At 41.6% G+C, this 22,515-nt stretch overlaps 1 protein-coding gene and 1 pseudogene across 3 annotated transcripts in view, besides 4 other annotated features; both read right to left on the reverse strand.

The window, feature by feature from the left end:
• NEDD4 (NEDD4 E3 ubiquitin protein ligase) overlaps positions 1 to 8,444 on the reverse strand; it is a 166,696-nt gene extending 158,252 nt beyond the window's left edge. For 2 of the 3 annotated variants that reach the window (NM_006154.4, NM_001329212.2), the window contains exon 1: positions 8,343 to 8,444. In NM_006154.4, the coding sequence (NP_006145.2) occupies positions 8,343 to 8,387 (45 nt within the window). In that variant the 5' untranslated portion in view covers positions 8,388 to 8,444. Of the gene's footprint in view, positions 1 to 6,757; positions 6,838 to 8,342 lie in introns of all 3 variants that reach the window. The other variant, XM_011521625.4, reaches the window with a different exon arrangement.
• Positions 7,692 to 8,474: an enhancer, noted in NCBI's record as "H3K27ac hESC enhancer chr15:56285058-56285840 (GRCh37/hg19 assembly coordinates)". NCBI's record gives its function as "activates a minimal SCP1, AML or CMV promoter by ChIP-STARR-seq in primed H9 embryonic stem cells {active_cell/tissue: H9 hESC(primed)}" and the evidence as "EXISTENCE:reporter gene assay evidence [ECO:0000049][PMID:30033119]".
• Positions 7,977 to 8,326: a silencer, noted in NCBI's record as "silent region_6459". NCBI's record gives its function as "represses an Ori minimal core promoter by ATAC-STARR-seq in GM12878 lymphoblastoid cells {active_cell/tissue: GM12878}" and the evidence as "EXISTENCE:reporter gene assay evidence [ECO:0000049][PMID:35858748]".
• Positions 8,567 to 8,666: a silencer, noted in NCBI's record as "silent region_6460". NCBI's record gives its function as "represses an Ori minimal core promoter by ATAC-STARR-seq in GM12878 lymphoblastoid cells {active_cell/tissue: GM12878}" and the evidence as "EXISTENCE:reporter gene assay evidence [ECO:0000049][PMID:35858748]".
• Positions 9,453 to 9,650: a silencer, noted in NCBI's record as "fragment chr15:56286819-56287016 (GRCh37/hg19 assembly coordinates)". NCBI's record gives its function as "represses an EF-1alpha promoter that drives an FKBP-Casp9 reporter gene in an ReSE screen in K562 erythroleukemia cells {active_cell/tissue: K562}" and the evidence as "EXISTENCE:reporter gene assay evidence [ECO:0000049][PMID:32094911]".
• CNOT6LP1 (CNOT6L pseudogene 1) lies at positions 18,137 to 22,011 on the reverse strand (annotated as a pseudogene).

Consider the following 22,515-nt stretch of genomic DNA (forward strand, 5'->3'; position numbering starts at 1 on the left):
CAAAGATTCTACTCCTATGTGATATATGAATTCCTAATTACCTATAAAAGAAATTATAGTTCCTTCTCCTTTTCTGTTCCTGGCGCAGAGCAGTCAATCACAGGCCACTACAGAAAATGTCTGTGGAGTGAGGGTGAATTTCACAGAGGTGCATGGTTGGCATGCTCGCCAGCACGGGGCACTGAGGGGAGGAGGGAGATACCATACAGAGATGCATCAGAAGGGTGCCCACTGGCAAGGGTACTGAGGAGGGGAGGACGGCGTTGCACAGGGATGCTGCATAGAGAATAGCAATATTCCCACTGGCATCCAAGGATGTGAAGAGCTGAAGTGGCAGAGGAGATGTCTGCGTGGTCAGGAAGTTAGTTACACTGAACACATAAGTCAATGAACAAATATATTAAGGATAATAAAAGTCAAATTTTTTCACTGTTAGAAAAGGTACTTATGGCTATAAAGGAACTCAGGTATTAGGTTTGAATTGGAAAAAATCAGTATGAATTCATGATTTTTAAATTTATGTATTTACAGATTGATATAGAAATAGCTATAGATCTTTGTGTATACTTATATATGTGTGTAGAGTACACATACACACACACACACACACACACACACACGCTTAACTGTTCAGAGATGGTCCAAGAGTATATCCCAGTAACAATGAGCACACCAAGTACCCAAATTGTAGCATGTAAAAACCATTTTATACTAAATAGGACCAGTGCTTCTAGGGAAAATGGCTGATTGTAGATAGCTGAGCCAAGCAAAATACAAGAGAAGCCTGGAACAACTTCTGCCAGAAAGTGTTCAAAGAATGATGGGGACTTGTTACGAAGACCTAGGAACCTCCTTGAAAGGGCTCCCACTGGACAAACTGGGACAGTATGAGCAATAAAATATTTAATGACAGTAACTGATTACAACCTGCTGAATAAAGTGGGATTTTACAAGTCTATGCTGATATAAATAAATGACAGGAAAAGGAAAGCTCTTCTTACATAGAATGCCAACTAACAGAGATGGAAATAAAACAAAATAGTGGTGTTTGGTTCAGATAGAATTCATCAATGGATGCTAAAACTGAGGATGAAGACTTGACGAGAAATAGGATATTGGCATAATCTTACGATATGTCCCCTGAAAATACTATCAATTATAAAGAGAAAAAAGGTGACATTACAGAGAAGAAACCTGGCAGACACCAAGGTGACCAAGTGATTAAGGTCACTGACAGTGTTGGGACAAGTCAGCATCATGTGTCCCCTGGTGTGATGCATGCGAAGAACACAGCATCATTTCTATGATTCCTGCCAAGAGAGCGTGACCTGAACATGGTCATCAAGAAACACTAAACAGACCCAAACAGACCCAAAATGAGAAACATCGTAGGATGTAAGGCCTGTCCTTGCTTTTTTTTTTTTTTTTTTTTTTTTTGTGAGACGGAGTCTCGCTCCGTCGCCGAGGCTGGAGTGCAGTGGCATGATCTTGACTCATTGCAAGCTCTGCCTCCCAGGTTCACGCCATTCTCCGGCCTCAGCCTCCCGAGTAGCTGGGACTACAGGCACCCACCACCACACCCGGCTAATTTTTTTTTTTTGTATTTTTAGTGGAGATGGGGTTTCACCATGTTAGCCAGGATAGTCTCAATCTCCCGACCTCGTGATCCACCCGTCTCGGCCTCCCAAAGTGCTGGGATTACAGGCGTGAGCCACCGCGCCCGGCCAAGGCCTGTCCTTCTTAAAACTGTCTAGGATAAGAAAAACTGTGCATGTGTCTTTATAGCAGCATGATTTATAGTCCTTTGGGTATATACCCAGTAATGGGATGGCTGGGTCAAATGGTATTTCTAGTTCTAGATCCCTGAGGAATCGCCACACTGACTTCCACAATGGTTGAACTAGTTTACAGTCCCACCAACAGTGTAAAAGTGTTCCTATTTCTCCACATCCTCTCCAGCACCTGTTGTTTCCTGACTTTTTAATGATTGCCATTCTAACTGGTGTGAGATGATATCTCATAGTGGTTTTGATTTGCATTTCTCTGATGGCCAGTGATGATGAGCATTTCTTCATGTGTTTTTTGGCTGCATAAATGTCTTCTTTTGAGAAGTGTCTGTTCATGTCCTTCGCCCACTTTTTGATGGGGTTGTTTGTTTTTTTCTTGTAAATTTGTTTGAGTTCATTGTAGATTCTGGATATTAGCCCTTTGTCAGATGAGTAGGTTGCGAAAATTTTCTCCCATGTTGTAGGTTGCCTGTTCACTCTGATGGTAGTTTCTTTTGCTGTGCAGAAGCTCTTTAGTTTAATTAGATCCCATTTGTCAATTTTGGCTTTTGTTGCCATTGCTTTTGGTGTTTTGGACATGAAGTCCTTGCCCACGCCTATGTCCTGAATGGTAATGCCTAGGTTTTCTTCTAGGGTTTTTATGGTTTTAGGTCTAACGTTTAAATCTTTAATCCATCTTGAATTGATTTTTGTATAAGGTGTAAGGAAGGGATCCAGTTTCAGCTTTCTACATATGGCTAGCCAGTTTTCCCAGCACCATTTATTAAATAGGGAATCCTTTCCCCATTGCTTGTTTTTCTCAGGTTTGTCAAAGATCAGATAGTTGTAGATATGTGGCATTATTTCTGAGGGCTCTGTTCTGTTCCATTGATCTATATCTCTGTTTTGGTACCAGTACCATGCTGTTTTGGTTACTGTAGCCTTGTAGTATAGTTTGAAGTCAGGTAGTGTGATGCCTCCAGCTTTGTTCTTTTGGCTTAGGATTGACTTGGCGATGCGGGCTCTTTTTTGGTTCCATATGAACTTTAAAGTAGTTTTTTCCAATTCTGTGAAGAAAGTCATTGCACACGTATGTTTATTGCGGCACTATTCACAATAGCAAAGACTTGGAACCAACCCAAATGTCCAACAATGATAGACTGGATTAAGAAAATGTGGCACATATACACCATGGAATACTATGCAGCCATAAAAAATGATGAGTTCATGTCCTTTGTAGGGACATGGATGAAATTGGAAACCATCATTCTCAGTAAACTATCGCAAGAACAAAAAACCAAACACCGCATATTCTCACTCATAGGTGGGAATTGAACAATGAGATCACTTGGACACAGGAAGGGGAATATCACACTCTGGGGACTGTGGTGGGGTCGGGGGAGGGGGGAGGGATAGCATTGGGAGATATACCTAATGCTAGATGACACGTTAGTGGGTGCAGCACACCAGCATGGCACATGTATACATATGTAACTAACCTGCGCAATGTGCACATGTACACTAAAACTTAGAGTATAATAAAAAAAAAAATTAAAAAAAAAAAAAAAAAAAGAAAAACTGAGGAAATGTTACAGATTAGAAGAGACTGCAAAGACATGCCACGTAAAAGCAATATATGTTCCCAGATAGGTTCTTAGACCAGAAAAGGAAAAAGAGAAATTATTAGTAACATTTATCAAAATTTGGATGGTATCTGTGGATTGAATGGCATTGTTGTATCAGTGTCCATTTCCTAGCTTGGAAGGGGGTATGGTTGTTATGCAGGAAAGTATTCTTGTTTTAGAAAAATACACACTAGAGTATTTAAAGATGATGGGGCATTGTGTCTGCAGCTTGCTCTCAAGTGGTTCAGAAAAAGATTAATGAAAATGGCAAAAAAAGGTGATGGAACAATTGCAGTGAAAAGGTTAACAGTTGCAGAATCTGTATGAGAAGAATACTGGAGCTCTTTGTGTTGTACTTTCAACTTTTCTGATGGTTTAAAATAATTTTAAAATAGGACGGGCGCGGTGCCTCACGCCTATAATCCCAGCACTTTGGAAGGCCGAGGCAGGCGGATCATCTGAGGTCAGGAGTTCGAGACCAGCCTGGCCAACATGGTAAAACCCCATCTCTACCAAAAATACAAAAATTAGCTGGGCGTGGTGGTGCGTGCCTATAATCCCAGCTACCCTGGAGGGTGATGCAGGAAAATCGCTGGAACCTGGTAGGCAGAGGGTGCAGTGAGCTGAGATCACGCCATTGCACTCCAGCCTGTGTGACAGAGCAAGACTCCGTCTCAAAAGTAAATACATAATTTAAAAATAAATTATTTTAAAAATACACTATATTTATTCACTTCTTTAGTCCCTGCTCCATGAAAAATACTTTACAATGATCCTGGAATTAAAGAGTTGCAAAAAAGCACTAATGGCAAAAACAATACATGAAAGATTGGGAGAAATTACTAATACAGCTGCTGCTTAACCTATGCTTCTCCTCCTTTGTGTGTAGTACATAAAGGTTTGGGAAGTTTGTTCCCAGACTGAGTAAGGGTCAGTTTCTGCTCAGCCTTAGTGGGTCCAGAAGTATCAGAATATGCCCTTCTTACCCTGCTACTTATGCACTGTTGTGGCTGCTGCCACCAGGGGCATCTATTATTCTGTATGTGCAAACTGCACTCTCCATACCGATAGCGGAGACTCTGAACTCTTTCCTCTTTATTTCCTTCCTTCTTTTCCTTGCTTCAGTCAGCCTTTCTTATAGGAAACAGAAATCATTCTAGATGCTTTAAGAAGAAAGAAGCTAATACAGGGGATTAGATGCTTACAAAATTTTTGGAAGAGCTGGAAGAGTAGGTGCTAGGCTGGACTTCTAGAGCAGGGGTCCCCAACCTTAGGAACCAGCCACACAGCAGGAGGTGAGTGGCAGGCCAGTGAGCAAAGCTTCATCTGTATTTACAGCCACTCCTCACCGATCACATTACCTCCGGAGCTCTGCTGCCTGTCAGATCAGCAGCGGCATTAGATTCTCATAAGAGCATGAACCCTATTGTGAACTGTCCATGCAAGCGATCTAGGTTGTGTACCCCTTATAAGAATCTAATGCCTGATGATTTGTCACTGTCTCCCTGTCTCCCATTACCGTCACCCACACTTGGGACCATCTAGTTGCAGGAAAACAAGCTCAGGGCTCCCACTAATTCTACATTACGGTGAGCTGTATAATTACTTCATTACATATCACAATGTAATCATAATAGAAGTAGAGTGCACCATACATGTAATGTGCTTGAATCATCCTGAAACCACTGGACCGCATCCCCGGTCCATGGAAAAACTATCTTCCATGAAACCGGTCCCTGGTGCCAAAACAGTTGGGGACTGCAGTTCTAGAAGATCAGAAACATGGCAGAACTGACCCATCCAGGAAGCTACTACCTCTCCCAGTCAGAAAGGTAGATGATCAGGAGTCATCACCAGAACTGATGACTTCAAGAATATAATCAATCTTGACGTCTGGAAGCCACTACCACCACTACTTCGGTGACTTCCTATCAATATGTACAAAGCAAGTTACCAGATACTGGAATACTTTCGCAGAAAATTTAGATGTTTACATGACTGTGCTTATCAGCAGAAAAAGCCAAAGAAACAAAACAATATGCTCCACCTCATTTCCACTCTGCAAATCTCAAGTAAGTGCACTTAACTGGGGAGCCTACTTTGGATCCAGTCCATTAATTTCAATGGAGTGTGGGAAACAGTGTTTAGTTTTCCCACCTCCATATCACAGGGAGGTGCATGGGAAGGAGGTGGGAAGTGATGCTCAATTCCAGTCCCCGCATCCACCACACTGCTCTCCAATAAAGATCAGTGCATGTTATTCTCTACTGTGAATCTCAAGTGACCAGAGCAAATCTGGTATAAATTATACTACACTTCCTCCTTTGTTTGTTAACACTTTAAAGGTAAAATCCTGCACATGCAGCCAGGGTGATCTCTTACTATAAGTCACTTATATGTGGAAGAAGAGCCAAAACTCACTGAAAAGTGAGAGAAAGGTATTATGATCTACATTTTAGCATACTTCAGTGCTAATATGCTCAGACACTGACTCAGCGACTATTCACTATATACTGATTAAATTACAATTCTTTCACTATCTTCTATCCCATTTCAAATTATTTTTCTCCCTGTTTTAGTTTCAAATTTAAAATAAGAATCCTCTCCTTTTGTTGTAATGAAAAAGCACTTTACTTTTAATCAACAGCAGAGGGCTGCCTATTTCCAGACTAGTCTGTGAGTTTTAGAAGTGACATAGCTGCAATGCTTTCTTCCTTTAACAAAAGGGGTGTTTGGGGGTGGGGAGGATGGGGGAGTGTGGTTTCAATCCTTCTTTTACTTTTGTGATAGACCAGAAAATAAATGGCAAATGATAGTGGAGAGGGCAACCTCCACAAGAAAAAAAGTGACTTTTATCTTTCCCTCAGTCCGAGGCTGAGACTGTCTTTTTTCCCTCTCTATCCCTGGTGCCTAGCACAATGCATGGTACAGAGCAAACAGTAAATGAATGTCTGTTGAATGAATAATCCAATTACAATGGAAGAAGTGGAAGACTCTTCATCATCATGTCTCTTATCTTCCTATCTCACTCCCTTCCTCAATGTGGACAAAATAGAGCGGGGACAGAAGCAAATTAGAGTCATGGAACTGACAGCCAGAACTCCCAGAATGTGAATGGGATAGGCCACAGTCCATGAAACTTCCTAGAAGTACAAATCCTTCAGCAAGTTCAGGAAATCCACATTTCAAAGGGTGGAGTTTCTGGCCTTTGGCCCCAGTTCCTTACCGACCACCCATTAACTGCCACAATTAGTTTTATTTCAGCTGGGCAGAGGGGTGATGATTGAAAACAGAGAAATTACTAAAGTAGATAATTAAAAACACTGATCATGTACCAAGAGGGAGAAAACAGATGGTGAATGATACCTTTGGCACTATTTTCTTTAAGATCAACTGGCTCTGCTGGAAGGCGGTGAGATGAGAAATCTGCAATTAGCAGGGCCTACCTGTGAATATAGCAGGGAAAGAAAGTCCAAGGTCAGCCTGATTGGGTTGGACACCACCTTGAAGTCAACTGCACTGGGCAGTCTACGTAGCAAGCAGGGAAATCTGACTGATAAGAAAGCGACCACAGGTGAAGTGCTGTATTATCTTCTGATCTCGTCTACAGAATAAAGGTGCCATTAGCTAGAATGATATCTTTAGCTGTAACACATTGACTATTGTTTCTGAGGGACTATGAGCCGCCACCATTTGTCCATCATCACTTTATTTCTCTTCTGGCAGCAATAGCTAGGAAATTAAATTCTAATCGCATCACGTAAGCATTCTCAAAATATCCTGAAATAACTGCATTAACAAATTGCCCACCCTTTATAAACAAAGAACTCTCAAGAGAAGTGTAAAATGTTTGACGACACCAAGGTACTAAGAGAAGGAACTATACAACTTAAATATTACAATACTTAAGCAAGCAGTATAAATTAGGTTGATGGATTTTCAGTTAACTGGGTCTCATCTTGATAAAAGGTACATGTGGCAGCTTAGTCAGCCAACAAGAAAGCAAAAAACTTGATTTTTTTCACTCGGAACCAGTCACTGTTAGACTACATGCAGCCTTTTCATCTCCCACCCATTTGCATTTTTGAGACAATCTCCAAGAACACACAGAAGCCACATATCATTTACGACGGAACAACCTTTCCAAATGGTCGTACAATATTTTTAATAAGCATAGGCATAATCAGCATTAGTTATTTAGCTGAAAAGAAACAGCTTTGCCTTCTTCAAATCCCAGAGCTTAATCTAGTTTTCAAAGGGAACAGATGTGGTAACTTCTTTATAAAGTATTTATACTTTTTTGGCTTCACTTTTTAACATCAACGACGACCGGTGAAATAAAGCATGAACTTCTCACACTAGACACTTGTTGCTAAAGAGGAGGAGGAAAATTTATGTTCCTGCTCTCCCATCCCTGTCTCTAGTTAGGGGATTAAAAAGGATTTCAGATAAAGAAGAAAAAAACAAACCAGCGAATGACAATTCACTTGGAACTCTCCAGACCGAAGTCCGTAAAGTTAAGTCGGCCCGGCCTCCGCCAGAGCAAGCAAATCAACAGCGGGGATGCTGCGACCGTCTCCCAACGCCTGGGAGCTCCGCACACCCGGCGGGGGTGGCAGGAAGGGGCTGGCGCGGTGATGTGGGTCCCCCGCCGACCGCCTAGCCCCCTCCTCAACACTTCCTGAAGGAAACTGACAAGTAAGGCGGCGGCCGCTCCGGGAAGGGGCGGGTGTGGACCCGACAAGCTTGCTCCCTCCAGCGAGCCCCCAGCGCCCGCGCGCCGAGCCGCCCCCACAGTCCCCGCGGCGCCTCGCGCGCTCCCCAGGCTCGCGCCGAGGGAGGAGGGGCTGACAGCAGAGCCTCCGGTCGTGGCCGCCGCCGCTACCTCCCCGGGTCCGGCTGCTGAATAACCCGAAGGGAAGCCCGCCCCGCAGCCCCGCGGTCCCCGCACCTCGTCCTCCAGGAGCCCGAACACCTCCACCGCGCAAGTTGCCATTTCCGAACGCTTCCAGCAAACCGGACGCGCTCGCCCCCGCCCAGGGCAGGCAACTGTGGAGGAGGAGGAGGAGAAGCGGGAGGAGGCGGGGAAGAGTTGGAGGAAGAGGAGGAGGCGCTCCCTCAGCGACAGCAGCGCCTCCCGCGGCGAGCGGGCACTAGCGGCACCCGGCAGCGCGGCGGGAAAAGGCCGGCGGCGCGCGCTCCTGGGGCTGGGCGGGGGCGCGCGTGGCGGGGCTCGGGGAGTGGGGAGGGCGTGCGGCGGGGCTCGGGTGGGATGAGCGCGCGCGGCGGGGACCATGGCGTGGGGAGCGCGCGTGGCGGGGCGCGCCCTCGGTCCCTTCCCGGGAGGTGGGTGGTTGACGGGCCCGCCGGGGAGCCAGGGAGCGCCGGGAAGCGCCGGGAAGCCAAGCTGCAGTGTTCCTCAGCAACAAGTCTCGCTGAGATCCGACCCAGAGTTCGGCCTCTGACTAGACGCCTGGGAATCCGTGAGCTTAATCCCCGCTTAAATCCCAAACGGAAAATCATAGCGCTTTCTTGTCGGTTAAGGGTGTCATTCCCATAAGAAGCTGGACCTGGGGACCGCCAGGGAAAGCCTGAGCGTGGCAGCAAATGGGGAGGCCTGGAGGGATCGCAGCAGTCTTGGACTCGGGATCTGAAATTCTCTCCCTAGGATTTGTAAACAGTGCCAGTTCCTAAGCTATTTGTTGTCCTATGGTCTGTCCATCTTTAAATCCCACCAGTAACAATCCAATCTCCAGGCTGACCCTCTAAACCTGCTTTAGCTGGGCGTTGATCCGCAGCACCACCAGAAGGCAGTGACGAAGAGGGAAAAATAAAGTGAACTAGGACCTCCTGTAGAATAACTCCTCCTGTGGAATAACTCCTCCTGTGGAATAAGGTTATGGAATAATCATGCTTTTTAATATTCCTGTCTGATGGGCTTTATAATTCCATAATTACAGGAAGACCTCCACCAAATAAGGCATCCATAAAAGAGTCTGGGGAGAATTATGAACACCCAGGCCACAATTTATATCATGTTGTTTTTATACATTTGCAGAAATTTGCAGAATTCTGCAATCTCAAAATCTAATTTTTATTTTCCTCAATGATTTCAGAATAACTCTGATTTATTTTTAACAGTTTAAGATGCTACGTGGGAACAAGGCTATAGCCCATATTACTGGTTTGTTACGTAAGATTTTTCTCGTACTTGGCCGGGCGCGGTGGCTCACGCCTGTAATCCCAGCACTTTGGGAAACCTAAGGCGGTGAATCACCTTAGGTCAGGAGTTCGAGCCCAACCTGGCCAACATAGTAAAACCCTGTCTCTACTAAAAACACAAAAATTAGCTGGGCGTGGTGGCGGGCGCCTGGAGTCCCAGCTGCTTGGGTGGCTGAGGCAAGGGAATCGCTTGAGCTTGGGAGGAGGAGGTTACAGTGAGCCAAGATTGCGCCGTTGCACTCCAGCCTGGGCGACAGAACAAGACTCCACCTCAATTGTCGTACTTTATGATTGGTAGGATCCATTTCATTCATATAATATGTATCAAAATTCTGTTAATACACAATTCAGATTTTATCCGTATTAGGGGGAAAGAGATGGCACTTAATCAAACATGACTACAAAATTACAGAATGGTCAGGAATTGTTGGCTTACCTAAATCGAAAAAGCCATGAGAGCATTAATTTGTTTTTTAAGTTGTCACATATCTGTGGGATTTGTGGGTTAAGAATAAAATAATCTGAAAATATTGTGTGCCCTTCTATTTTGCGAATATTTCCCTCATCTCTCATGATACACATTTTTATGTTTAATTTTAAGTTAGTTAAGTCATTTGAATTTAAGTTAATTCAGTGTCATTTCAGGGCACAATTACAAACGTGTAAAAACAGCTTCCGTTACTGCTACTAAAATTTAATGAATATATGAGAAGTATACACAGCCTAAAACTGGTAATTAAAAAAAAAAAAATCAGTAAATCCCCAAGGGATTATAAAGTAAAGCAAATTGGCCATTTGATGTATCCAATAGGTATTAGTGATGATACTTCTAAAGACCACTGATTTGACTCATGATTTCTTATTCTGTCTTTCCGAATATGAAATCATGAAGAATTAAACAGCTACCAATACAAGATGAACTAGAGTAATTATTGTATCCCGGTCAACAGCTAGGAGGGGCACCTGAAATTAAAGGAAGCTCAAATCGGGATGGTGATATCAGCTGGTGGTCCAATAACCAACCACCACTGAGAAAGCTGTTTAGAATGAAGAACTCCTCTACATATCACTCAACTGCGCAGAACTCTCATGAAGGCGTTTTGTCTACCTAGGCTGCCTTCAATTAGGTTCATGTTGATTTGGTTTGAGTGTGTGTATAACCATGTGAGGCACGTGTGAAGAATGTGACATGGTGCATAACAATTGATTCTGTGCCTCATACCTGTGCTAGGGATCATCCCAAGCCAAAATCCAGGCAATTCTAGCAACCTCCAATAGCATCACCCCTTCTATCTCTTGTTCTTGAGTCTTTTCTCCCTTCAAATCTGCCTTTACATGAGCCTCCAAACTGATTAAGAAGCAAGAAATGAATGAAAACCAGTAAACCTGGTCTAGACTTTCTAGTAGTCTGTATACGTAAACCTCTTTAACTCTGCCTATAGATTTCACTGTGATGCAGAAATTGTTTCTAGTTTTTAAAATATCACCCCCTGGGATCAAAATTGGATGTGGAATGTAACAATATGAAAGGTAATGATACGAAATGCACTTTAATGTTGGTAATTAATTCCCTAAGGGATATAAAAAAGTCTTGTTCAGAAGTTCTCCTTTAATTCTCTCTTACTCTTAATATCCCCTGGCTGCTTCCTTTCTAATAGTTAATGTTTGAGATTTTTAAGGTTCATTTTTTCTTCCACTGGAAACTCCCTGGACCTCATCCATTGCCATTGCCATTACCATAGTTTCAGCTACTTTCTTCATAGAGCCCATCTCAGATCCAGAGCTCAGTAGTGCAAGAAATGTTTATTTGATTTTCTGAAATGAACTAAGTTTCTGCCTCCAGTAGTAGAATACATAGTCCCAATCAATTCATTGGTCTTGCCTGACCCTCTTTTTGCTAAGCTGGATTCTGACTTCTAACAGGCTGTTGTGCTCCCTCATCTTGGTGATAAAGGTTCTCATCACTCCCTCCTGGAATTAGTAGATGTATCTGTGTTCCCGCTGGCCTCTAGCTGTGGACATCTTTATCAAGTAGAATTACATTTGGCTGTTACCTAAACTAATAAGATTTAAAGATTCATGTTATATGGCTGTCATGTAAAAGTCTAGACAGTGGGCAGGGCAGGGTTAATATGGCTAGTTTGCTCTGCCAAAGGGTCAGAAATTCAGGCACTTCACAGCTCACTGCTCTGATGTTTGTAGGTGTGACCCTTATCCTCATAGTCCAGAGAGTGGCTCAAGCTTCAATCATTACGTCTATGTTCCAGGTTACAAGGCAGAGGAAGGAGTAAAGAAGAGAGTTCAGGTATCATGGTCATCTTTTAAAATGCCCTCCTCACCCCACAAGGGGTGGGAGGTAGTGAGAAAGACGGCCAGGTGCAAGGCAGTGGGACCCAGGTGTGTTCAAGGAAGGGTTTGCTTGGTGGACTGGTGATGGCAGAAATGGGAAATTAGTTACTTGTAGAGACAAGTGATCCAATAAGTGAATATATGAATGATAATGAGAACCACATTAGTCACTGTTGAAGAAGTTACAAGAATGGAAAGAGAAAACTTGAATGAGTCTTGTGTTGTTATAATGAAATTGGTGGTGTTGATATGAACTCAAAAGTTTTTAACATATATATATAGTATATAAATAAATGTAGATGTAAACCTCTGCTGCATACACACACACACACACACACACACACACACACACACAAATATTTTCTACATTTGTATTCTAAGAGGGCCTGGGAACAATGACACCCCAAAAGCAATGAGCATATCTTGCATCCATATTTTAACTTTTTACTAAAAGAAACCAGGGCTCCTTGGAAAAATGGCTGATTCCAGGACTAGGACAAGGCAAATAAAAGTTGAGCCTGAAACATCTTGTTATCCCAGAAAATAATGAAAGTAATGATGGAGACAGAATAAAAGGACACAGGAACCAACCTGAAAAAAGCTCCCACTGGCCAAAGATGGCCTAACTTGAGCACTAAAATAAATTATGATAGCAACAGATTATAATCCAATGAATAATTCTGGTACCATGTGTTCATTACAGATATAAATTATAATAAATGAGTACATTCAAAGTTCAATGAAAAATGAGATTTTTACAGGGTTCAACATATATTTCCAGAAAGTACTTAGTTACATAGATTAAAAGGCTGAAATATACCACCTTAATCAAATGATCAAAGTGAACATTTGATAAACCAAAATCTTGCAACCCATTGCTTTTCCTCCATAACTTGGATCTAATCATGAGAAAACAAATCCAATTTAAGGAACGTACTACAAAATATCTGCCCTGTAATCTTCAAAAGTGTCAAGGACATAGAAGTCAAGAAAGTTGGAGGAACTGTTCCAGACTGACAGATTAAAGACCCTGTATTATGGTTCCCTAGAGAAACAGAACCAATAGGATGCAGATATATAAAGAGATTTGTTATGGCTGGGCACGGTGGCTTACGCCTATAATCCCAGGTTTGGAGTGCAGTGGTGCTATCTTGGCTCACTGTAACCTCTGCCTCCTGGGTTCAGGTGATTCTCTTGCCTCAGTCTCCTGAGTAGCTGGGATTACTGGTATGTGCCACCATGCCTGGCTAATTTTTCTATTTTTAGTAGAGATAGCGTTTCACCATGTTGGCTAGGCTGGTTTTGAACACCTGGCCTCAAGTGATCTGCCTGCCTTGGCCTCCTAAAGTGCTGGGATTACAGGCATGTGCCATCATACCCAGTGTCAACATATTTTTTTCTACCAGGAGTTTCAAAGCTCTATTTTAAAACTTATAAGCTGAGCATTGACTTATCTTTCTCTTTTCATTTCTGTAGTAACAGTTCTAGCCTGAGGGCAGTAATCAGAAAACCTCACTGCTGTCTGACTGGAGCCAGAGGAAGGGCGGCAGGATATTCCAGGAATATAAGTAGTTATCAACAATAAAATTTCACAATACCTTGCTATAGCTTCCACACCCTTATCTCTTACCTAAGCTTCAGACCTGTATTTCCCACTAACTGTCTCTTTCTTGGTATCATGAAAAAAGTCTCAAACTAAATAGATCCCAAAATGAACTCATTATAATCCTGTATTCTGTGTCTCTGGAAATAGCATTATTGTCTATCTAGTTGCAAAGGCTAGAGACTTCTGAGTATTCTAAAATTCATACCCCCTGCCCATTCCTACAACTTCTTCCTATCACCAGTTTGTTATACAATTGAAATTCTTTCCTCTTCTACCTAAGATTTTTTTTCTCTTCTTATTGGTATCCATGGCTAATGTCGGTACACCCATCATTGTCTGGTAATTGGCTCAGACTGGTAGCTTTTTGTCTTTTTTTGTTTCACCCTATATCTTCTGAGACAAATGTTTGCATGCAGTAATTTTTTTTGAGACACACTCCCAAGCAGTAGTGTGCTGGACTCAACTCATACTGGCATCCAAGGTACAATTGTGTACACCTCTATCCAACTGCAGATTTGGTGATGTCATGTTGGTAGCTTGAAATTATGGTGTATTTATATCACAGAAATAGGCAAACACTACAAACCAAGATCATTTTATTTTCCTGGAGAGGCAGTTATTAAACATTTATCGGAACGCGACTGAGCCTAGGAAACATGAGTGAGGGACTGAAAAGAGTAAAACAAGGAATGGCATAAGACCCATGCAGTGATTTTGTAAATTTTTTAGTTTCCTTTACATGATTAACCTGATTTGGGCTCGATATCACTAAGGACCCTTCAGGAGTCATATAGAATGTACCTCAGAATTGTTCTACCAAGAAGGGAGTATTTATTCGTTAGTTTCCATTCCCTATTGGACAGGGGTTATTTCATAGGATGTTAATATTTGCAGATTTCCTTGTGTATAGAATGGCTGAATTGGCTCCTACAGGTATGTCCAACAGCAGTGGCAGTGAGGCACAGGGGCAGAAAGTGAAATATACATTAAACAACTAAAATGAGTTGCTGTCTGGTTACATCTCTACATCTTTGGTTGCTGCAGCAAGGACTGGAGTAAAGGTTAGTTGAGAGGGTATGAGTCAGAGTGCAAGAGGAATCTAATACATGTGCAGATCTGCCCCACACTTAGTCCATTCTGCCGTAGGGTCTTTGAGGTGTGTCCAGTATTTACCTCTCCAAAAGACTTGATAGACAAGGGTTTCTAGGATAAGCTGCAGCATCTACTGTGTAACTGGTCTCAGGGTCATAAATGATATGCATTATCTCTCTCCTATACCACCCACTCTCAATTTTCCCATTCTTGGCCAGTACTTCAGCAAATTTAGGTTATTGCCTGGTGGGGACTCAGATTTTCCTCCCCAAGAGGTATGATTTGTCAGTTGTGTTTAACTTATTGGGTCATGGTTCTAGTAATTGCCCATTTAGAATTGTCATTGGACATGCAAGTACTAAAATATGCGGTGGATCCCCTGAGTTCCAAACATACGCTTTCTTGTCTTTCTTGTGTAACTCAACCATAGCTCCTATACCTCCCTGCCAATACGGTAATTACTATGTTTGTCTATTGGTCCACTAACATGAGAAGCTCAAAAATGACCAAGTGGTGGTCATAGCTTCCAGTACAGTGGGACCCTTGCTGTGTCTCCTGGAAGAAGCATCCCTTCTACCCCATAGTAGGAACTAGGATTCCTATGCAGCAGTACCTAAATTGTCTTGCAGCTCTCCCTGAATTAGTCTGGGAGTTCTTTGAATATAGGAACTGTATTTATCTTCCCATTGGACACATAGAAGCCAGTCAACAGTTATATGAATGAAAGATTATATTTGCCAGAAACGGGGAAAAATGTATATGTAACACTGATTTTTTCCCTCATAAAATCTTATTTATGGATTTTATGCTGTTTCTTATTGCATATGACTCAATTCTGCAATAGATAAACCATATCTGTACCATTAATATGCCATAGTTCAAAACCTTTAAGCAAATGCTGTTGTTTATTTTAGCTCCCAAATATAAAATAAACTTACAAAGAACATTCCATTTCAATTATTAGCAATTTTTGAGTGGTAAAATGAAAAAGAGGTTAAAATATCAATATTACAAAAGTGTTGCCTTTCTACAATAACTTGAGCTTTCAGCTAAAATGAGTAGCATTTAGAATTTCTCTGATTATATTTGCCTGAATTATTAAAAAAAGAAAGATAATAATTTGAAATGCAAAATGCTTTATATGGTTCCTAGGAGAAGAAAAGACATTATTTGTGGGTTCTTTTACCCTAGCTATTTTTTTTTTTTTTGAGAGTCAGTCTTACTCTGTCACCCAGGCTGGAGTGCAGTGGTGCGATCTCAGCTCACTGCAACCTCTACCTCCAAGATTCAAATGATTTTCCTGCCTCAACCTCCTGAGTATACACTAGCTATTCTTAATTCTGAATAAGAGAATCTGCCTATAAAAGTGATTTTTAGTTAAACATTTAAGATATTTCTTCCATTCTATTTTAACATGTAGAGTAAAAGCATTATAAATAAGGATTCCTACTAAAGGTCTGGTGTTTCTACACTATTATTTAAAATGACTCAAATGTGTGAATGAAAATAAGATTATCTCCTTATAAGATCAAGAAGAGAAGTTGGCAAGCAATTAGAAGTGCTCAATATTATTCTATAGGTAATGTAATGTGTGTGTGTAGTTTTGTCTTCTTTCTTTATATGTAATATTTCTGCGGCAAATAAGTAGTTTTAAGTTACATACAGCTTCATATGTCTAAGCCATTTGATAAAATGGTCTCCAACTTTTTCTACCAAAAATAGATTAACATTCCAGTTTTGTTTTTAAGAGATGATGAGTGATAAAATGGCTTGAGGGCTTTGCAGGAAGCCGTTTATAAATTAAGCTAAAGGTCTTGTCTACCTGTACAAACTTGTTTAGCTTTTGGTTGAAGAAACTGAAGAGCAGATAAATACTTTGTAAGCAACTTTTACTATAAATTTGTAGCATGTGAATTCTTCCTTTTTCTTCTGACTCATTTCTGAGGCCAAAACTAAAGTAACTTCTGCTATGGTTTGAATATGTCTCCCAAAGTTTATGTGTTGGAAATTTAAACCCCAGTGCAACAGTGTTGAGAGGTGGGATCTTTAAGAGGTAATTATCAGCTGGGCGTAGTGACTCATGCCTGTAATCCCAGCACTTTGGGAGGTTGAAGCAGGAGGACTGCTTGAGGCCAGGAGTTTGAGACCAGCTTGGACAATATAGCAAAACCCTGTCTGTAAAAAAAAAAAAAAATTAATAAAATTAATTAGCCAGGCATGGTGGTGCGTGCCTATAGTCTTAGCTACTTGGGAGGCTGAGGTGGATAACTTGAGCCCAGGAGTTCAAATCTCTGTCCATTTAAAATTACCCAACAGATATTCTGTTATAGCAGCACAAAGTTTGAGGCAGATATTTTTGAGTTTAAAACACTATCTGTCACTGGGCACAGTGCTCACGCCTGTAATCCCAGCACTTTGGGAAGCCAAGGTGGGTGAATCACTTGAGATCAGGAGTTCGAGACCACCCTGTCCAACGTGGTGAAACCCCATCTCTACTAAAAATACAAAATTAGCTGGGCATGGCGGCACATGCCTGTAATCCCAGCTACTCGGGAGGGTGAGGCAGGAGAATCGCTTGAACCCAGGAGGTGGAGGTTGCAGTGAGTCAAGATCACGCCGTTGCCTTCCAGCCTGGGCAACAGCTGGGACTACAGGCGTGTGCCACCACATCCAGCTAATTTTTTGTATTTTTAGTAGAAATGGGGTTTCACCATGTTGGCCAGAATGGTCTCGATCTCTTGACCTTGTGATCCACCTCCTCAGCCTCCCAAAGTGCTGGGATTACAGGCGTGAGCTACCGCGCCCAGCCAACACCCTTATTCTTAAAGGGGTGTACAACCAGGGTTTCTTTGTTGTTTATTTTTTTTCTGCCCATTTCTCCCCACATAATCCCTAGCTTCCTGTCATCCTTTTCCTTTCTTTTCTCCACCCTCCATTCCCTCACTGAATATACCAGGAACTCCAATATCTTCTTTCCTTAAACTGCAGAACAATTCAACTCTTCAATCCCAAATTTAGCTCTAGGCTCATTTTGCATACCTAAACCTATCAAGGTATTCAGCAGAACAAAAGGGACTTTCTTATAACAGAATGCACCCTCTTTAGAAGAGAACTGTCCTTATAAGTTAGCAATTTTAAACATTCTTCATTTTTTTTTTTTTTTTTTTGAGACGGAGTCTTGCTCTGTCGCCCAGGCTGGAGTGCAGTGGCGGGATCTCGGCTCACTGCAAGCTCCGCCTCCCGGGTTCACGCCATTCTCCTGCCTCAGCCTCCCAAGTAGCTGGGACTACAGGCGCCCGCCACTACGCCCGGCTAATTTTTTGTATTTTTAGTAGAGACGGGGTTTCACCGTTTTAGCCGGGATGGTCTCGATCTCCTGACCTCGTGATCCGCCCGCCTCGGCCTCCCAAAGTGCTGGGATTACAGGCGTGAGCCACCGCGCCCGGCCTCTTCATTTTTTTTAATTTTTTTATTTTTTTACAATGTTTCCCATTTTTATTTTTTCCTTCCACATTTAACTATTAAAAAAGTTTGTTATTAATAAATGGGCTTCTCTGTGGTTCATATACAATCATAAGTGAACTTTAAATTCCATTTTATACAAACATCTCCAAAAATATTGGGAGTGAAGTATGGTAGGAAATATTGCTTACATTGCTAATTAACATGCATATATGAAGGAGGAAAATGTTTTGTTAATGCATATACCTCCAGAGCAGAAAACCCACCCAAAACAAAAGATCTAAAATAAAACATACAGTAGCTGATTACAAAAAAAGGTAATGTCCACAAAATTAAGTTTTTCATGCTATTCTACTTTCTAGTACTATGCTTCAGGTAATCAATTTGCATGGCTAGATGTTGGATACTTGAGGTATATAAGAAGGGAAACCTGCATGTTGAGGAAAATCTGTCATCTTAAGGGTTGTTTCTTTTTGTTTGTTTATTCTGGTACTTTAACATTTTTAAAAGATATTTTATTTACATCAAAATTCACTGAACTACAATGACATTCCAATTATAATAGATGACAAACAACGCCTCTATCACTAGGCACTTTTAAAAGGGAGTTCAGGCTTTACAGAACCCTTCTGATGCAATCCCATGTATGATATGACATCATCCCACCACCCTCCTCCAACTAAAATTACCCTCTGGGGAAATATTACCTTATATAGCCTGATTAATTTACTATGGAAGAAATTAGCATAAAATGACTAAAGTAAATGCATCATTTAAGACTAATAAAACAGTTTAAGATGTCAGGTTTGAAAGAGGAGACAAATTGTGTATATTTAAAACTAATTAAATAATTTAAATTTAACCTGTACTTTATATATTAGTGAGACACAAATATAGGCTATTGTCTTTTAAAATTTCATTCACATAATGGAAAATTTCTTGTTTATTAAAAATATCACATTTTGAGACTAGAAACAGTAAAGTGCATGAAAAGTTTAAAATATAAATTTCAGAAAACTCTTATAGCAGCAAAAAAGCAGAATAAAGAAAAACTTAAAAACACAGACACAACCTTTTCCTGTTACTGTGCCATAATTAACATCAAGTAGCCAACAAATTTTTCCCCAGAAAACAGTATTCTGTTCACTGCCTCTTGAGTCACAGATTTTCAACTGGCTCCTCCTAGGCAAAAAAAAGATTCCAACATACCTAAAGGCATCAACAATTGGGAATAAACCAGTAGCTTCTTAATTAAACCCTGACAGACAACTGAAACAAAGATTAAAAGCATATGATGGCCATTTGGCAGCTAGAGTCAGGAAAATGACCCAACGTTTTCAACTACTGCCCCAAATTTGTTCTCTCTCCCAAATCCTTTGCACTGTCATCTCAAAAAACCAACAGCCACATAATCTGTGTTGGAAACACATAAAATATCTGTATGATTTTCCCCATCTGAAACTCTGATCAAGGCCTTTTTATTCAGCAGATTTTTTTCTTCTTTTAACATTTGACTATAATGGCAAAAATGATATAGGTCATATAACATCTGTTTTCCTGGCACAACCAGACAGAAGGTTGAATTGGAATAAGGAAAAATTCATTCTGTGGGCATCCTAAACGTACCGCATTCTATTTTCAAGGTATGTGGCAATACAGATTACTTACTCTTTCTCTATAAATAAACTTGAGAGACAGGCTTAGAATTAATACTTCCAATAAGGTTATATAGAGAGGACAAAAAAACCAAAGTGATTCCTCAAAAAAACTCCAAACCAGCATTTGGCCAACAAATTGTCATGTGGTGTTACATGCTTGATTATGAAAGCATACTGTGCAACCATCTTTAACTTTTCAAATTTTCTTTCCATGTATAGAGGCTATATCATAGTTTATGTACTGAACAAGTAAATTTAAGTACTCTGTTAATGTGCAAATGACTTGGGAATCCAAAAGTCAGTTATAAAGGAAAAATTCAAGGTTTTCCCTGGAAGGCATATCATCATTCAGTTTAAAATACTGTATTTATAGTTTTTAAAAATTGCCTTTTATAAAATGGTTGGCTCACTGAAACCATTCAAAAGAAAGTATTTGTTTTGGAAAAACAAATACACTGTTGTTGGGCCTCAAATTGGTAATTTATCAATTTTGAATGCTGGCTGTTAATACAATATAAAGAAGGTCCAATTTAAAAACATGTTAAATTAAAATTTTGGAAAGAGAGTAATACTTTGGTTCCAGCCCTACTGCCAAATGATACCAATATGCACAAAAATGTACAAAGTCTTACAGCAAACACATAAAGAAAGAAACGTGAAGAAGCAGCTTAAGGATGGCCATACTTCACTCCTACATACTTTGATTTACAACTGTACAGGTCCATAGCAACAGATCCCCGTCTTGGCGGGGCAGTACTCCACCACCTCCGATTAGGCAAGTGAACACCATTGACAAGAGGCAGGAGTGGAGGGTGGAGTTCAAGTTGTGTTAACAGTGAGAAGTGGTCTGAAGGGATGTGAGGGTGTGGACACCCAGTGATGTTGTTCTCAACCAGCCATTGAGGATCTAAAGGCCCCAGGACACCAAGCACATTCATATGAGTCTTGGAATAGAAAATGTAGTCAATCACGCCTTTGAAATCAAAGGTGTAATTGGTGTAAGGCATCAAGTTATTTTCGTAGGCGCTCTTAAGTTGGAAGCCATGTGTGATTCTCCCTTCTGAGCTTCCATTCTTTCCATTGCAGCTGAAGTTCATAAGACACTTATTGTACCTTAGTTCCTTGAAGTCTTTATGGTTGTCAGCTATTCCTCCATTGCTTAAGTATTCCACAACACCTGAATCTGGCAATGAGTTAAGATCTGCACATAGCACCAGCGGGATGGAATTAGGATCTGCAGTTGGGCTGCCAGACCTACTAGAGGCTTTCTCCAGAATGGTTTTAACCTCTGAGACAAACATCATGGTCTGGATGAGCTTCACATCAGAATACTCTGGGTCCCAATGCATGTGGGCATTTGCCACTATAAGCAGCTGTTTGTCTGCAGCATGAATAGGCTTCATACCTGCTCCAAATAGTTCTTTGTGGACCTCTAATACCACAGTGACACCAATGTTATCTTTTGTCATCACTCTGTTCAGCATAGCTTCGGATCCATCTGAATTAGCCATTGCCACTTGGTTAAATTCCACTGCATGCTTCTGCACCAATGTAAATTTTTCTCTTTTGAAAAATATTGCACAACCATCTACATGCTTTCTCTCCTGCTCAGACATGATTTTGGCACGTGACTTTGGAGAAAAAAATCCATCATATTCACGCTCCTTCAATGCTGGCAGAAAGAGAGTGAAGTATTGCTCTGTTTCCACTTCCTGAAGACTAATGATATCTGCGTCACAGTTAACAATTTCTTCCATAATTCCCTTTTTCCTGTATTCCAAGTTTAATGCCCAGGATGGGCAATAACCATATAGCTGCCGGGTAGCGTATTTATCACATAACACATTGTAACAGATAACCGTGAATGATGCTGATGGCAGAATTTGGTCTCGTTCTTTTAATGTAATCCATGGCCTCGGAGGAAGCTGCTCTGGATGAACTGCGAGATTGTCAAGCATGAAGTTCAGTAGATTTCGGGTTCCATCTGGGTCCTGGTATAAGTTGAGAATATCCTGTGATAAAGGATTGCCTTTCAAACCTAGAGTTTGTAGCTGGAAGAGCCCACCAAGTTCATAAGGCAAAACCCGTAACAAGCAATTCCCCGAGATTTCTAATTCTGCCCAGTGAGATTTTTTCCCATTGGCTACCTCCTCTGCTGACATGATGGTATAAATTCTGCGAGGATCTGGAGGATCATATTTTTCCTTTGGCATCCCTGTTAGTCTGCATTCAGCGCGCCAGGATCCGGGCGGCGGCGGCGGCGGTGGCGATGGGGCGGCTGGTGCTGGTGCTGCGGCGGCTGGTGCTGGTGCTGCCGCGGCTGGTGCTGGTGCTGCGGCGGCGGGGGAGGCGGCGGCGGCGGGGGAGGCGGCGGCGGCGGGGGAGGCGGCGGCGGCGGGGGAGGCGGCGGCGGCGGGGGAGGCGGCGGCGGCGGGGGAGGCGGGGCTGAGGGCAGCAAAGACATCAACATTCTTCTTTAAACATTCTAGCGTTTTTGGTTGCACTAAGGATATTAAGGATCATGTTTGATCAGTGTGCCCTAGAGGAGTAATTGGCAAGAGACCCCCAGTCTGGATGCTCTTGCCACTGTGGATATGATTCTTTTAATTCTGATCTTAGACCTGGATTTTATTGCTATTAAGTCTGAAGGCATTCCCTTGTAGTACAGATGCCAGTTATATTAATTTCTTGCTTACAGTCAAACATTCCATTGTACTCAACTAGGGTTCTATCAT

The sequence above is a fragment of the Homo sapiens genome, chromosome 15 (genome assembly GCF_000001405.40).
Source record: "Homo sapiens chromosome 15, GRCh38.p14 Primary Assembly".
Lineage (NCBI taxonomy): Eukaryota > Metazoa > Chordata > Mammalia > Primates > Hominidae > Homo > Homo sapiens.